General features: G+C 40.7%; 1 protein-coding gene and 1 pseudogene across 11 annotated transcripts in view, besides 4 other annotated features; both read right to left on the reverse strand.

Annotated features, from left to right (window-relative positions):
• Nucleotides 1-4,109, reverse strand: part of GALC (galactosylceramidase) — a 60,654-nt gene extending 56,545 nt beyond the window's left edge. For 5 of the 11 annotated variants that reach the window (NR_187582.1, NM_001201401.2, NM_000153.4 and 2 more), the window contains exon 1: nucleotides 3,412-3,624. Coding sequence is in view for 6 of the 11 variants with exons in the window: in NM_001201401.2 (NP_001188330.1) it covers nucleotides 3,412-3,606 (195 nt within the window). In the remaining 5 variants the exon portion in view is untranslated. Of the gene's footprint in view, nucleotides 1-1,538; nucleotides 3,297-3,411; nucleotides 3,625-3,824 lie in introns of those variants that run through there. The other 6 variants (NM_001424073.1, NM_001424071.1, NM_001424072.1 and 3 more) reach the window with 5 other exon arrangements.
• Nucleotides 3,292-3,481: a silencer, noted in NCBI's record as "silent region_5988". NCBI's record gives its function as "represses an Ori minimal core promoter by ATAC-STARR-seq in GM12878 lymphoblastoid cells {active_cell/tissue: GM12878}" and the evidence as "EXISTENCE:reporter gene assay evidence [ECO:0000049][PMID:35858748]".
• Nucleotides 3,437-3,937: an enhancer, noted in NCBI's record as "H3K27ac hESC enhancer chr14:88459339-88459839 (GRCh37/hg19 assembly coordinates)". NCBI's record gives its function as "activates a minimal SCP1, AML or CMV promoter by ChIP-STARR-seq in naive H9 embryonic stem cells {active_cell/tissue: H9 hESC(naive)}" and the evidence as "EXISTENCE:reporter gene assay evidence [ECO:0000049][PMID:30033119]".
• Nucleotides 3,437-3,961: a biological region, named in NCBI's record as "H3K27ac hESC enhancer GRCh37_chr14:88459339-88459839".
• Nucleotides 3,632-3,961: an enhancer, noted in NCBI's record as "active region_8833". NCBI's record gives its function as "activates an Ori minimal core promoter by ATAC-STARR-seq in GM12878 lymphoblastoid cells {active_cell/tissue: GM12878}" and the evidence as "EXISTENCE:reporter gene assay evidence [ECO:0000049][PMID:35858748]".
• RNU6-835P (RNA, U6 small nuclear 835, pseudogene) lies at nucleotides 6,787-6,890 on the reverse strand (annotated as a pseudogene).

A 14,963-nucleotide genomic window follows, 5' to 3' on the forward strand; every position in this document is an offset into this window, starting at 1 on the left:
ATAAACTTGGGCCACCTTTTGTCCAAACTTCCCATGTACCCTCAGTCACCAAGATATCCTCAATAGCTCTCAAATCCCTCCTCTACTCTTCAACCCCACTGACTTACCCAGGCCCTCCTCACTTATGAGAACAGTATAAGTGGTCTCAGGACATCCCTTCTGCCTCTCCCTGTATTCTATCTTCCATGCTACTTACGAGAGTAACCTTCCCAAAATACAAATGTAATCACGAAACTCTTCCATGTAAACATGCTAAGACCGTCCCTTTCCCAAAAGCTTTCAGGATAAAGTTCAAATCGCTCAATTTTGCACCCAAATCCCTTAATTATTTGGCTCCTAACCCTGATACTTTATCCCTTATCACTCTCACACCTTCTACCTAGATGTATCAAACAACGTTTTCTATTCTTATGCCTGGAATGCACCCCACATCCTCTCTTGGACAACTCCAATTCACCTTTCAGCTCAAATTCCACCTCTGGAATTTGAAGGAAGGATGCCTTCTGGCCCTGCTCACTGATTTGATGTAAGCGCCTCTCCTTTGGCACCAGGTCCATATCTTTATTACAACACTTTGAACCCCGGCACTCCTTTATTTTTCTGACTCACCTCTTAGTTCCTTAAGGACATGGACTGTATCTTATTCAAGTTTGTATCCTCATTCTTTGTTATTCAATAAACACTTATTAAATATTTTATGGGTCTTTTGTTGCACTGGTACTGGCAACATAAATAGGAGTCTTTGAGTCAAATGGAGTTTGTATCCTGATTTCATCATTAATAAGCTATGTAATCATAGGCAAATTATTGTAAAGTGGGCTATCTTACTCATTCAACTGCTGTAAGACTAAAATTAGATGTATGTAAAGGACTTGGCACATTACCTGGCACATAGTAAGTTCTCAATAAAGGCAAGTGTTATATACACAAATTTTTTAAAATACATATTTCTCAAAGAGCTTACAACCTAGCAGAGGCTCCAATATTAAAATAGGCACTCTTTAAATGAACACTGTATAGGCACACTAATATATCCTTGACCCTAGGTAAACAATGCTTCCTGTCCTACGCTACGCCATTAATACTGTGCGTTTTGCTGTCTAGGGTTTCTTTTGCCCTCTATGCACTCCCACATTTAACAGAGAAAGTATCGGCTTTAGGCAAACACACCAATCATGTTATTGCAAACCTATAGCCACACCTAACACAACAGCATAAGTCAAAGGCAATATAACCAAATGTTAAAATGCACCATCTAGCAATAGCAAATCACGGGATTACTAACCACACTGCCTGAATGAGGCCTGGAACTGTTTACAGGCCCAGGAAAAAGCCTTGGGGACATTTCATCATTCAGTGGCCTTGAAATAACTTCCTCCTCCCTAATCCCTGAAAATGGTTATTAACCAAAATTAGTAATGTGCAAGACATCATCCTAAGTACTTTAGGTCTATCCTCACGGCGCTCCTACCATGCAGGTATAACTGTATCCCAAAAAAAGAAAGTGAGGCAGAGAGGAGTTATAATAGATAACCCACCAAGGCCACACAGTGAAGTGGCAGAACCCAGAAGACACTCTTGGCAATCTTCTCTTTAGTCTACATTCTTTTTGTTTTGTTTCGCTTTGGTTTGGTTTTTGGGTTTTTTTGTTTGTTTGTGTTTTGAACGGAGTCTCACTCTGTCGCCCAGGCTGGAGTGCAGTGGTGTGATCCCGGCTCACTGCAACCTCCGCCTCCCGGGTTCAAGCGATTCTCCTGCCTCAGCCTCCCGAGTAGCTGGGACTACAGGCGCGTGCTACCAAGACTGGCTAATTTTTTGTATTTTTAGTAGAGACGGGGTTTCACCGTGTTAGCCAGGATAGTCTTGATCTCCTGACCTCGTGATCCGCCCGCCTCGGAAGCCCGAAGTGCTGGGATTACAGGCGTGAGCCACCGTGCCCGGCCCTACATTCTTAACTACTTACTGTACCATACCGCTTTCCCTCTCTGACATGAAGATTAAATGACAGCACTCTAAACACTTACTGGCACAACCTGGGCTAGGAACCAAGGACTCCACAAAGAAGTTTAAAGTGGTATGCAAATATAATGTTGCAAGAATTTTCATTATTTAGTGAGTTCCTATGAGGAGTAATGAACTATATAGGGATACTAATAATTGTATATTCTATCAGATTAGGTAGGAGTTTCCTACTTTGAATTACGAAATGATTCTTCTCATCTTAGTAATTTTAAACTGGGCTTAATAAACCTAATGGAAACAAAGACTTCCATTTTTCGGTAAGCTCTTACCCTAGATATAGTATCACAAGTAAAGCTATAAAAAAGATGGGGCCTCACTCCATGAAATATTGGCTGTTTCAGGTTTAGCCCAAAAACATAAAAAGGAGAATAGTAGTAGCAAAGAATAAATGCATTAACTCATCGGCCCACAGGTTTCCCCTGAAATACACATCAGCACGGCTGGAGAGATTGCAAATTAGGGAATGAAAACATAAAAATCAAAAAGGATCAGCTAACTCCAGGGGGAAAAAAATTTCCCCTAGCAGAAGGTTATATCTTGTGGTCACACTACAGACCAGGTCATCCTTGCAGCAGGCATTCAAGCTTGTTCTGAGTTGAATGTAAGGATGCAAGCTCCATCCAACTCAACCCCAAAAATCCGAGTTCAACCTTAACATTTTCAAGAAACATTAGCCCTAGATGTAATTTCGGATACAAAACCAAAAAACAAAAACCTTCTCACCCAAAGGTCGGCCACCATGAAGCCCATGGGCCCAGAGGGAGTACCCGGTAGTTTCAGGCCGCTCGCTTATCTTCCTTTTAAAGAGACCTTGAGGCACCAGTCCTGCCTCCAAACGAAATCCTATTCGGCGCTACCCTCTCTGGAGGAGCCCATTCTTACCCTGCACTAACAACTGCACGGGACTTAACGACTCCACCACCCACCAACTCCTCCAAAAGGGAGAGACACAGCCAAAGCATCCCACTGGGGCGTTCTCTTTCGCACACGGACGCTCCCGCACTCCCTGGCCCTTTCTGGAGCGACGCTCCCCGACTGCCATCTCCGCGATGAAGACAGCCTGTGCCCCACTGCCTGGGACGAGGGTTCCAGCCCCGGCTACTTCACTACTTAGACCTGTCACTTTACTCTCTGCACCTATACTCTCTGGACCTCCGGATCCTCATTTGTTCAAACCTAACTGCCTGTCTGGTTCGTGTTAAACGAGAAAGCACCCGCCCCAGCCCCGCAGCGGGCCCGCCCCAACCGCCTGCTGACTGGCACCCTAGGGGAATGCGGCGGAGAGTGGAGCCGGTGGAAACGCAGGGCAACGCCGCGGGGGCTTGTGGGGCTGGCCCCACGGGGCGGGCTCTTGCCGCCCCCCGCGTATCCCCGCAGCTTGCCGCTCACCCCGCCGCCGCTGACCGCGCCGATGCCGTCGAACTCCCGGCCCAGCCCGTCGGAGTCGTCGAGCACGTACGCGCCGCCGGGCGCCAGCAGCGCACACAGCAGCAAGGGCACCGCGGCGCGGCCCGCCGAACCCGCGGCCGCAGTCATAGCTTTCGCTCGGCGTTGCCAGGAAGCCGAGAGTAGCCACTCAGCCATTGTGTGGGTCACATGACTCCGGCGCCCAGGGAGGCGGGTCCCGTCGCCGCCACGATAGATACGGGCAGGAGGCCGCTGATGCTGACGCCGCCGCCGCCATTTTGAGTGCGGGTCAAGGGCCTCTGACGCAGCTGGCGGAGTGTTGAGAAAAGAAGCAGCGAGCTTTTTCTTATCGCTCGCGTGTCTGTGGTCAGCTACTGGATTTCACATGTACTTACTGCTGGCTTCTCTTCCGGCGTCACCTGGTGGAGCACTTTAACGCAGGGAAGGTGGATTCCAAGGTCCGCCAAAGGAAGAGGGCCATGAGTGGCCCTACCATGGCTCTTCCCCAGCATCTCAGGGAGTATCTACCTCGTGCGAGGACCAGGCTTGGACACCAGGTCCCGATTCCATTGTCATCTTGGTGGAATCACTTTGCTTTTGGAGCCTGAGTTTTCCCTTATGTGAGATGAGGCGAGAAGAGCAGCAGAGTGAGGGACTGAGAGAAAAGTTAATAAGCACTCAGTACATTTGAATGCATTCCACAAGTGGCAAATAGCTGAGAAGGTTCTCCAGTCTGGTAACTACCCCGGCATATTCAAAGCTTTTAGCCTTGAAGGAGTTAATAATATACCACCTCAAAATATGCTGCTGTGGCATATTGACTATTTTAAATTAAAGGCACTTAAAAACAGCAGGTGCAAGATCACTGTCATGGATATTATGTGTCTTAAAAGGAGGAGATGAAATTCCCATGTGAAAGATGTCTTCCCTATAAAATAACATTGTTATCTTCAAGGACAGAAAGTTGAAGTCGAGGGAAATCTGTCCAAACAAAATTTGTTAATCCCTATCTTTCTAGTCGCTTCTTTACCCCAAGCCCCTTCGCCTTATCATGTTTCACAACTACTATTTTTTGTCCATTTCACTCTATAAGCAATTGGCTCTTAACTGCTGCTTTAGGTCTTTTTTTTTTTTAATGAGGGCCCCCGTGCTATGTAAAATAAACATTTGTGTGGTTGTCTCCTGTCAGTCTATTAATATCTTAAATCAATTTAATACTAGGGCCATGCTGGGACCCTACAGGGACGAAGGTGAAATTTTGCCTCCCCTACAATTTTATAAACTATCTTCCACTGTCAGTTGAAGTGATTCCAGACAGGTAACTCTAAATTGGTAGGAAAGTTGTGAATTGCCCTGAATTTCTGCCACATCCAGCACTGTCCTGAGATTTCTGATTTCCTTGTTATTGAAGTAAATTAAAGAGACTCTGAAGAGCTGCAGAGAAAGATTTTCTGATCCCCAAATTTCTCTTAGCAGAAGTATGGAACTGGTTATCATTGCCTACACAAGCCCCTGAGATACCACAATGGCAAGGAAAAGACCCAGAGACTTTAGGACCTGTGGGATTTGTCTGCAGAACCCTATTTGGAATCTGATTATTTTGCCCCTTAACCACAAACCTAAATCTAAGTTTCAAGAACTCAATTATACTTGAAGGTCAAAGCTCTGGGCAATCCAATAAATATGCACATTAAGAACCCGATATCCCTGGGTTCTTAATGTACATTAGATATGTTTGTTCTTTCTTTCTTTTTGAATTGACTCTACGTCTATCCTGGTTTACTAAGGACAGTCACAACTTTTGTCTAAACATAATTACTGATAATGCTCCTTTCACCCTCAGTAGTCTTCTGGCTTGGATCAGTTAAATAGTCCCCTGTGTATGAACCACTTATTTTCTTTGGTTTCTTCTTTCCCCAGTACAACACGAATCTGAACTCTCTGCCTTGCCACTGCAACCAGTTTATGATGCAAGTCAGTAATTTTCAGTTCTGTGGATTTACTGTTACAGAATTCACTCTGATCCATTTGTTCTAACACAGTATTTTAAGCATGAGCTGGAGCTCCTGTGGATACAAGCCACAGTAACCATTCCATCAAGTGAATGTTAAGCTTCTCTTACCAGCTCTTAACAAGCGCATAAGACCCACTTAATACCGTGACTAGATGGGAAATACCAAGGTGATGACAGAGGAAACTACCTTACACATAAAACTAGGAAGTTGCATGACGATGTATGAATACCCAGCATACACCATCCTGTAGTACGTCATTGTGAAACGGGTCAGTGGTCAGTGGTCTCGTTGTCTGAGGTGTTATCCAAGCTTGTTGTCTCACAACCAAGAGAATTAAGGAGTGTGGACACCAGAGTGAGGTTGAAGAGAAAGTTTATTATATGAAAGAAGAAAGCTTTCTTTCTTTGCCATTTTGCCACTTTTACAGTTGAATCCAAAAGCTTTTATAAGAAACTCCTCTCATCTCTGTAGCTGTTTGTGTAACTTACTTGTAAAGCTATCTGTGCAGCTCCCCTTATCTGTGCAGCTGTGGGTATGTCTTGGGTAAGGATAAAGTTCAGCTTCTCTTGTTTGTGTAACTGTGGGTTCTAGGTAATCACCCTCTCCACCCCCATGCAAGTTCCCACAGAGCCCACCATGTATGTGCCTGAAAAGGGGAAGAAACTTTTTCCTGGGAACCTGCTAATCACACAAAGAACAAAAGGCTTCTATGTTGGGCCTTCCTTTCTTATCAGGGCAGCTGTTGCCTGAGTTTTCCCCAGGCCACTCTATGTGTGCCTGTAGCTTGATTTTTCAGGCTGTCTTTCTGTTTAAAAGAATTTTACCAAAGACCAACTTTAGCTGTCTGCCCAACTAAGTTTTCCCTTTTCTCGTCCCTCAATTGCACCTTGTAGTTGGAATGCACGCCACAAATATTTGAGCAATGTGTGAAGTCTACAAAAGAGGAAGCATAAACTCTAATGGAAAAGGTAGCCTCACTTCCAGGAAGTCCCAGTAGTTCCTATTAGTTCAGTTACCAAAGAAATTGCTTACCAGATAAATATTTTTTGTTTCTAATTTCTGATCTATATTCATGAGAGCAGACATGAGGTAAGAAAGTTTCTAATAAAAGGCCAATAAATACATGCTGACAGAAATCCTTGGAGTGCTGGGCACGGCACTCAAATGTGCTCAAGATGTGAGATAAAGAAAAATGACAGTTACCCCACGAGTGATCATATGCTTAGCTTCCCTTGCGTCTGTGGATCAGGGTCAGTGAGATAAGACGGTAAGAAAGGAAGGTCCCAGTTTTCAGATTTTAAATGAGTTTAAAAAGTAATGACAGTGTTTCTCTCTCTGTCTTTTTAATCTGAAACACTTCAAGAATTTGCATGTCATCCTTGCTCAGAGGCCACACTGATCTCTGTAACATTCCAGTGTTTGTAAATGTGCTGCCAAAGGAAACACGATGATTTTTCTCTTAAATAACAGGTGTTTCTAAGTATCACAACTATACTTCAGCCACCCCAAATCTCTCCTTTTTCTAAATAAAATAATGTGATCAAAATCAAATAGTCTCTTGAGAAGGATCAGAGATCTTGCCTTTTAATGAAAATTTATTGATAAACTCTAATAGCAGTCTGGATTTTTTTTTTTATTTCCCCAAGACTATCATAAAACGGTATGATAGCAGTCTGTTGTCTCACTTCAGGAAAAGGCTTTACTTTTATAAATCAGTCCACCTCCCCTTCAGTCTACCATTGATGGGCATTTAGGTTGATTCCATGTTTTTGCTATTAGGCTGTCAGAAATTCCAGGGCAGAGGCCAAGTTTATTTCTTCTTTGTATGTCTTAAGCACAGTGCCCAAACTGTGCTAAGTACTCAATAAATATTAGTTGAATTGAACTAAAAGACAAATCACTGAATGGTCACATAAGGGGATACGAATAAAGAATTATTTACAAAAGGAGTTGGAAACGTTTCTTAAAGTAGGAATCCCCTGGGACATAAGAGTGTGGAGTGTTTTCTTGAACTGTCCTGTAACATCTGCTATATTTTTTACCTTTTATTTTAGGTTCAGGGTGCATGTGCAGGTTTGTTACAAAGGTAAATTGCATGTCCTAGGGTTGATGTACAGATTATTTCATTACCCAGGTAATAAGCATAGTACTCAATAGGTAGTTTTTTGATCCTTCCCCATCCCCCATCCTCCACCCTTAAGTCGGCCCCAGTGCCTGTTGTTTTGTTGTTGTTTGTGTCCATATGTACTCGATGTTCAGCTCCGTCTTATAAGTGAGAATATGCAGTATTTGGTTTTCTATTCCTGTGTTAGTCTTCTTAGGGTAATGGCCTCCAGCTCCATTCATGTTGCTACAAAGAACATGATCTCATTCTTTTTTTTTTTTTTTTTTTTTTTTTTGAGACAGAGTCTTGCTCTGTCATCCAGGCTAGAGTGCAGTGGTGCGATCTCGGCTCACTGCAATCTCTGCCTCCCAGGTTCAAGCGATTCTCCTGACTCAGCCTCCTGAGTAGCTGGGATTACAGGGTGTGCCACCACACCTGGCTAATTTTTGTATTTTTAATAGAGACGGGGTTTCACCATGTTGGTCAGGCTGGTCTCGAACTCCTGACCTCGTGATCTGCCCGCCTCGGCTTTCCAAAGTGCTGGGATTACAGGCCTGAGCCACAGCACCTGGCCTGTCATTCTTTTTTATAGCTGCATGGTATTCCAGGTTGTATATGTAACACATTTTCTTTATCCATTAATAGACCACTGATGGAGATTTAGGTTGATTCCATGGCTTTGCTATTGCAAATAGTGCTGAAATGACCATCCACTTGCATGTGTCTTTATGGGAGAATGACTTATATTCCTTTCAGTATATATCCAACATCTGCCATTTGTCTGGTCTTTCAACTCTGGACGTGTTTCTTGATGGCAACTGTTAGTTATACTGCCCTACTGAGTGACTTCTCTCTAAAATATGTTATAAGGCTCTATTCATTCAAGATTTTATATAAACAAAATGAAAATAAGTCAAAGGACAGAATCCACCTAATGAAATAAATTATAAATTGCTTACTGAACATTTTCTTAAGTATAACTACAAATAAAAACTTCTATAGCAAAGAGCAGTGTAGTATAGTAGTTAGAATACTGGCTCTGGAGCCCCAGGTCTCCTGGCTTCAAATCTTTCTCCTATTGCTTAGCAGCAGTGTAATTTTGGTTAAGTTATGTAACTTCTTTGGGCTTCAGTTTACCCATCCATAAAATAGAGATAATGATGGCAATACATTAATGTGAACATTGGACAAGCTAATATTTTTATAGCACTTAGAAGAGTGACCCACACATCCTATGTGTTATATAAGTGCTTATTATATAAATAATAACATAAATGACATACCTATATAACTATCGTACAACTTTTGAGTTTACTGCTTTCCCCACAATTAATTCTGCAAAAACAGATTATTCCTGTCTTTGTATTGGTCTCAGTTTTTCTTTTTGCTGGGTTGTTGTCCACAGTCATCCAAATCTATGTTGTGTGTGGCTGATTCCTCATAGTGAGAGTCTTGGTGTGAAAGAGAATTCTGCCTCCTTCAGAAGTTAAGGAGCCAGATCCTCTCTCTTACTGTCCTTATCAGTACAGGCTCTGACAATGACCAGGCTTTCTCAATCAGTTTCTTGAACCTGCAAATTTGACCTTGGAAGAGTAACTAGATGTATGCACAGTTGAGAAATCCCACAAGAGCCATATCAGAGTCCAGAGGAGGCAGCTGCATAGAGGCTCCATCAGAGGTGGCCTCAGATACCTAAAGTAGTGGGATCAAGCAGTGCCATTCTCACCTGAATGCTCAGACAGAGTGACCTGGCTATCTTTTTGGTCCTTGGACTCTAGCCCATTTTACAAGTCTTATTCTGAAGTTTCTGCATCAATTTGTTCCATATCCTCATTTCTTTCTTTCTAAGTCATTCATTTTCTGCTCAGGTAACCCACAGATGGTTTCTGTTACCTGCAGCAAGGAACCCTGATGGACACACCCGGTTATAATCCAAAGCTGATGTGATAATTGTAAAGAATTATCAGGCTCCATGTCTGCATTTCTCCACTGTAAAAACTGCCTTCACCACCTGTAGTCCTTTTGCTGGTAATTGTTACAGCATAGATTTGCTCAAATAAAGGAATTCCAAGAAATTGTACTGTCCTCCTATGCTTTACCTGTGATATTTCTACTCTTCCTTGTATTGCAAATACTCACTTTATTGCACTCCCGCCAGGAAAAGAATTTTAGAGTCCACCTAGCGCCAGGTCTCAGACATGAAGAAAATGACGGTACAAGAGGTTCTCACCACTCAAAATATTTTTGAAACATCTATCACAATGCTCTTCAACAGAAATATACCCAGTAGTGAGACTGCTGAATCACATGGTAGTTCCATTTAGTTTTTTGAGGAACTGCCAGTTATCCACAATGGCTAAACTAATTTACATTCTCACCAACAGAGTGCATGGGTTCCCTTTCCTCTACATCCTTGACAAAAACATCTTCCTCTTTTTGATCACAGCCATTCTAACAAGTGTGAGGTGATATCTCATTATGTTTTCAATTTGCATTTCCCTTATGATTAGTGATTTTGAGCATTTTTTAATATACCTGTTGGGCTTTTGTATGTATTCTTCTGAGAAATGTCTATTCAGCTCCTTTGCCCATTTTTAATCAGGTTACTTATTTTCTTGCTATTGAGCTGAGTTCCTTATTTATTTTAGATATTAACCCCTGAGATGTGTGGCTTGCAAATATTTTCTCTCATTGTGTAGGTTTTCTCTTCACTCCATTGACTGTTTCTTTGGATATGCAGAAGCTTTTTAGTTTAATGTAATTCCATTTGTCTGTTTTCACTTTTGTTGCCTGTGCTTTGGGGGCCATATCCAAAACGTCATTGCCCAGACCAATGTCATGGAGTTTTCTTCTGTGATTTCTTCTACCAGTTTTACAGTTTCAGGTCTTACATTTAAGTCTTAACCCATTTTGAGTAAATTTTTGCATATGGTGTGAGATAAAGGTCTTATTTCATTCCCCTGGATGTGAATATCCAGTTGTCCCAACAGCATTTATGGAAGAGACTGCCTTTCCCCATGTGTTCTTGGCACCTTTATCAAAAATAATCAATTAACTGTAAATGTGTATATTTATTTCTGAACTTTTTATTCTGCTCCATTGATCTATGTTTCTGTTTTAATGCCAGTACTCTTTTGATTACTGTAACTTTGTAGTAGATTTTGGAGTCAAGTAGTGTGATGCCTCCAGCTTTGTTCTTTTTGCCCAAGATTGCTTTGGCAATTCAGAGTTATTTTTTATTCCATATGAATTTTATGGTTGCATTATCTGTTTCTGTGAAAAATAGCATTGGAATTTTGATAGGAATTGCATTGCATCTGTAGGACATTTTGACAATATGGACATTGTCATTTTAGACATTTTGACAATAGTAATTCTTCTAATCCATGAGCATGGGACATATTTCCATTTATTTGTGCCTTCTTCAATTTCTTTCATCAGTGTTTTATAGTTTTCAGCATACAGGTCCTTCATCTCCTTGGTTAAATTTATTTCTACATATTTTTGTAGCTCTTATAAATGGCATTGTTTCCTTGATTTACTTTTAGGATAGTTCATTGTTAGTGTATAGAAATGCTGTTCATATGTGTGTTGATTTTGTATCCTGTGACTTTACTGAATTTGTTTATTAGTTCTAATGATTTTTTGGTAGAGCCTTTATGATTTCTTATATATAAAATTATGTCATTTGCAAACAATTTAACTTCTTTTTTAATTTGGATATCTTTTATTTCTTTCTCTTGCCTAATTGCTCTGGCTAGGACTTCCAGTACTATGTTAAATAGAAGTGGCAAGAGTGGACATTCTGTCTTGTTCTGATCTTAGAGGGAAAGCTTTCAATTTTTCACCATTTAATATGATGTGAGCTGTGGGTTTGTCGTGTATGGCCTTTATTATGTTGAGGTACATTCCTTCTACACCTAATTTGTTGAGAGTTCTTGTGAAAGGATGTTAAATTTTGTCAAATGCTTTTTATGCATGTATTGAGATGATCAAATGGTTTCTGTCCTTCATTCTGTTAAAGTGATGTATGGTGAAAGATCCTGTTAATGTGCTATTGTATTCAGTTTGCTAGTATTTTGTTGAGGATTTCTGTATCTTATGTTCATCAGGACATTCGCGTGTAACTTTTTATCTTGTAGTGTTCTTGTCTGGCTTTGCTATCTAGGTAATGCTGGCCTCATAAAATAAATTGAGAAGTATTCCCACTTCTCCAAATATTTTGGAAGAGTTTGAGAAGGATTGGTATGGCTTCTTTAAATGTTTGGTAGAATTCAGCAGTGACGACTTCCTGGGCTTTTCTTCGGTGGTAGAATTTTTATTACTAATCAGATTTCCTTACTTTTTATTACTCTGTTTAGACTTTCTGTTTTTTTTTTCATGTTTCAGTCTTGGTAAGTTGTATGTGCCTAGGAACTTCTCCGTTTCTTCTAGGCTATCAAATTTCCTCTTCCTATAAGGACAGCAGTCAGATTGGATTAGGGCCTATCCTTGGGGCTTTATTTTAATTTAATCACCTCTTTAAAGGCTCTATATCCAAATGCAGCCACATTCTGAAGTATTGAGGATTAGGGCTTCAGCATATGAATTTTGGGAAAGGACACAGTTCAGTTCATAACACCAGCTAAGATTTAGGGACTTTTCATGTTGCCAGGACTGGAAGGTGGCTTGACCCTTGGTTCTCAGAACTGCCCTCTATCAATGCTGGCATCCCCTGAGACACCCCCTTTCCCTTCTGGTCTTTGGTAGTTAGCCCAGGTAGTATTAACCTGAGTTGTCCCTCATCCGTGACACAAAGTGCCACACTGGGCCACTGAAAGTGCTGTGAGATGGGCTGAGGCTTCCCATCACTTCTTTGTGCCCCTCATTCTACTCCACCTGTGCTATACGGGCACAGAGGGACTTGATGAGTGTCTTAGTTTGTTTTGTGTTGCTATAAAATAATACGTGAGACTGGATAATTTATAAAGAAAAGAGGTTTATTTAGCTCATGATTCTGTAGGCCAAGAAATTCAAGGATGTGGTCCCAGCTTCTGGCAAGGGATTTCATGCTGCATCACAGCATGGCAAAGAAAGTCCAAAGGAAAGTGGACACATGCAAAGAGGGCCGGAGAGGTATCCAGGCTCTTATAATAGCCCACTCTCTCGAGAACTAATCCATTCCTGGGAGAACTAATCCAGAAAGAGAACTCGCTTACTACCTCAGAACAGCACCAAGCCATTAAGGAGGGATCTACCCCCATTGCCCAAACGTCTCCCACTGGGCCCCACTTCCCACTACTGCCACACTGGGAATCAAATCAACACCAGCTTTATAAAGACAAACAAACCATACCCAACTATGACAGTGAGGTCTCTCAGGTACATACTCCTGAGTCTCTCCTTGGAAATGAGGCACAGGTTCACTCTCCTCCCCAGATCACACAACTCATCTAGGGTGTTTGTCACCCACCCCTACCTCAGGGCTTGCTTGGAAGTGAGTACAGCAATCAGGATGCAGGGCCCCTTTCTCAAGCACTGACCACATCTAACTCTTGAACATACTTCCTCTCTCACAACGTTAAACCCAACCCCCGCCAAGCAGGACAATCTTTTTCAGTTTTGGGGGCTGGGAAGCTTTACTTTATTTCAGCACATATTCTCCCAAGCATAGTGTCTGTGCCTCAGTCTTTTCCAAGGCCTTGAATTTTTGAAAGTCAAAACTCACATTGTCTTCTTTTTTTCCCCCCCGCTTGTGCCAGAAATTTCCTTGAGGCAATAAATGCAAAATGGCTCACTGATTGTGTAAGGGTAGGGCTAGAGTGAAAAGAAATGTGGCTGGGAAAATATAGCATTATTTCAAAATCTTACCCTGCCATATTTAGTTGCCGCTTTAGCTAGTGAAATTACACCTAGCAGATAGTGTGGCCTCACAAAGGACCCCTTCATCAGTAGAACACACTCTTGCACTGTCTGCCCAATGGAGAAGTTGGAACCAGGTAGATCCACAATCTCCTCCCCATTACCCCATGAGTAGCCCAACTGGCCAGTGTTGGGTCCCCAGATTGTGACCACAGAAAACCAAATAATTGACTGGTCAGAAATGCCAACCCCGTTAAGGCAGTGTTCTGAATAACTACTAATTGTCTTTATCTCATTGTTATGTTGTTAAAATGTCACAGTGACTCAATGATTTAAAATTTCTAACCGTTCATTATAAAAGATAGCCCTATAGTTGAAAATACAGTATTGCCATATTTTCCATATTAAGAAGCAAATTTCTTAAAAGCTGGTAAATTTCTTATTGTGTAGAGTTGGCAAGGTTTTAGCATAGGTCAGCTCCAGCTTTTTCTCCTCTTTAATCAGAAGTGAAAGTTTGTGTTTCTTATGTTTCTTAATGATAATCTTTTTCTTTTGAAAAGCAAAATACATGAATATTAGATATGGACATGAAAATACCCTTTCCCTAAAAGCAGAAGTATAGTCTATTCAGATAAAGTAAGAGATCATCAGAGTAATGAAATACCTACGTAACAATGCACTTGTACCCCGAACTTAAAAAAAGATATATCATGTATAGAAACCACAGATAAGCAGATGTACGAAACCAAGCAAAAATGAGAACTTTGAATTACAGTCACAAGTAAACTGAAATCGTTACTTTTCATTTTTGTAAAACTTCAAGACATTTATTGTTAATTTTTTACTTTATACTTAATTTTTATTATTTCAGTAACAATATATTGATTTATAATTTACTATATGCTAAATTACTTTATAAACTATCCTGTGCTTTATAAATGTAAGGTATTAGTTTTATTATTCTCAAAGAAAGACCTACAACGGAAGTATTGAAAATCTTTACATTCCTGATATACCCTGATCAACTTCAATATGGAAAGCCTTGCTTATATACAGGCTAATCTTTTCTATCTCTGGGTAGGGAGAAAAAAACAACAAAAAAAAAACACCAGCAACAACCCTTAATGTCCTTTAACAAACACAGATTCAAAATGTCCTGATTACATCTTTAAAATTAAGTCAAATGTTTTCATCCCAAATAAATTCTGTTCTTTCAAATAATATTTTCCCTTCATTTCTAATAAAAGTTTATGAGGGCAAGATTCAAAAGTGATATTTCTGACTTTTTTATATATCAATAGTAAGAAAGTTATAGGAGCTAATTTCACTTCATATTAAACCACTTATAGATTTGGCATTAACTTTAACTTGCTAAAGTACAAGAGTTTTTATAATAACAATGTAAGTCTTAAATAAAATTTTCAAGTTTCATAAAATTATTTGTCTCAGCTAGTTAATTCAACTGGTTTTTAGCCATCTCTGTTTCCAAGAGGAGAGAATCAAAGGAGAAAATAGTTCTACAATCAAATACTATATATCTAATCCCATTAGTCTCTCAAAAAAAAAAAGAAAAG

Source organism: Homo sapiens, chromosome 14 (assembly GCF_000001405.40).
Source record: "Homo sapiens chromosome 14, GRCh38.p14 Primary Assembly".
Taxonomy (NCBI): domain Eukaryota; kingdom Metazoa; phylum Chordata; class Mammalia; order Primates; family Hominidae; genus Homo; species Homo sapiens.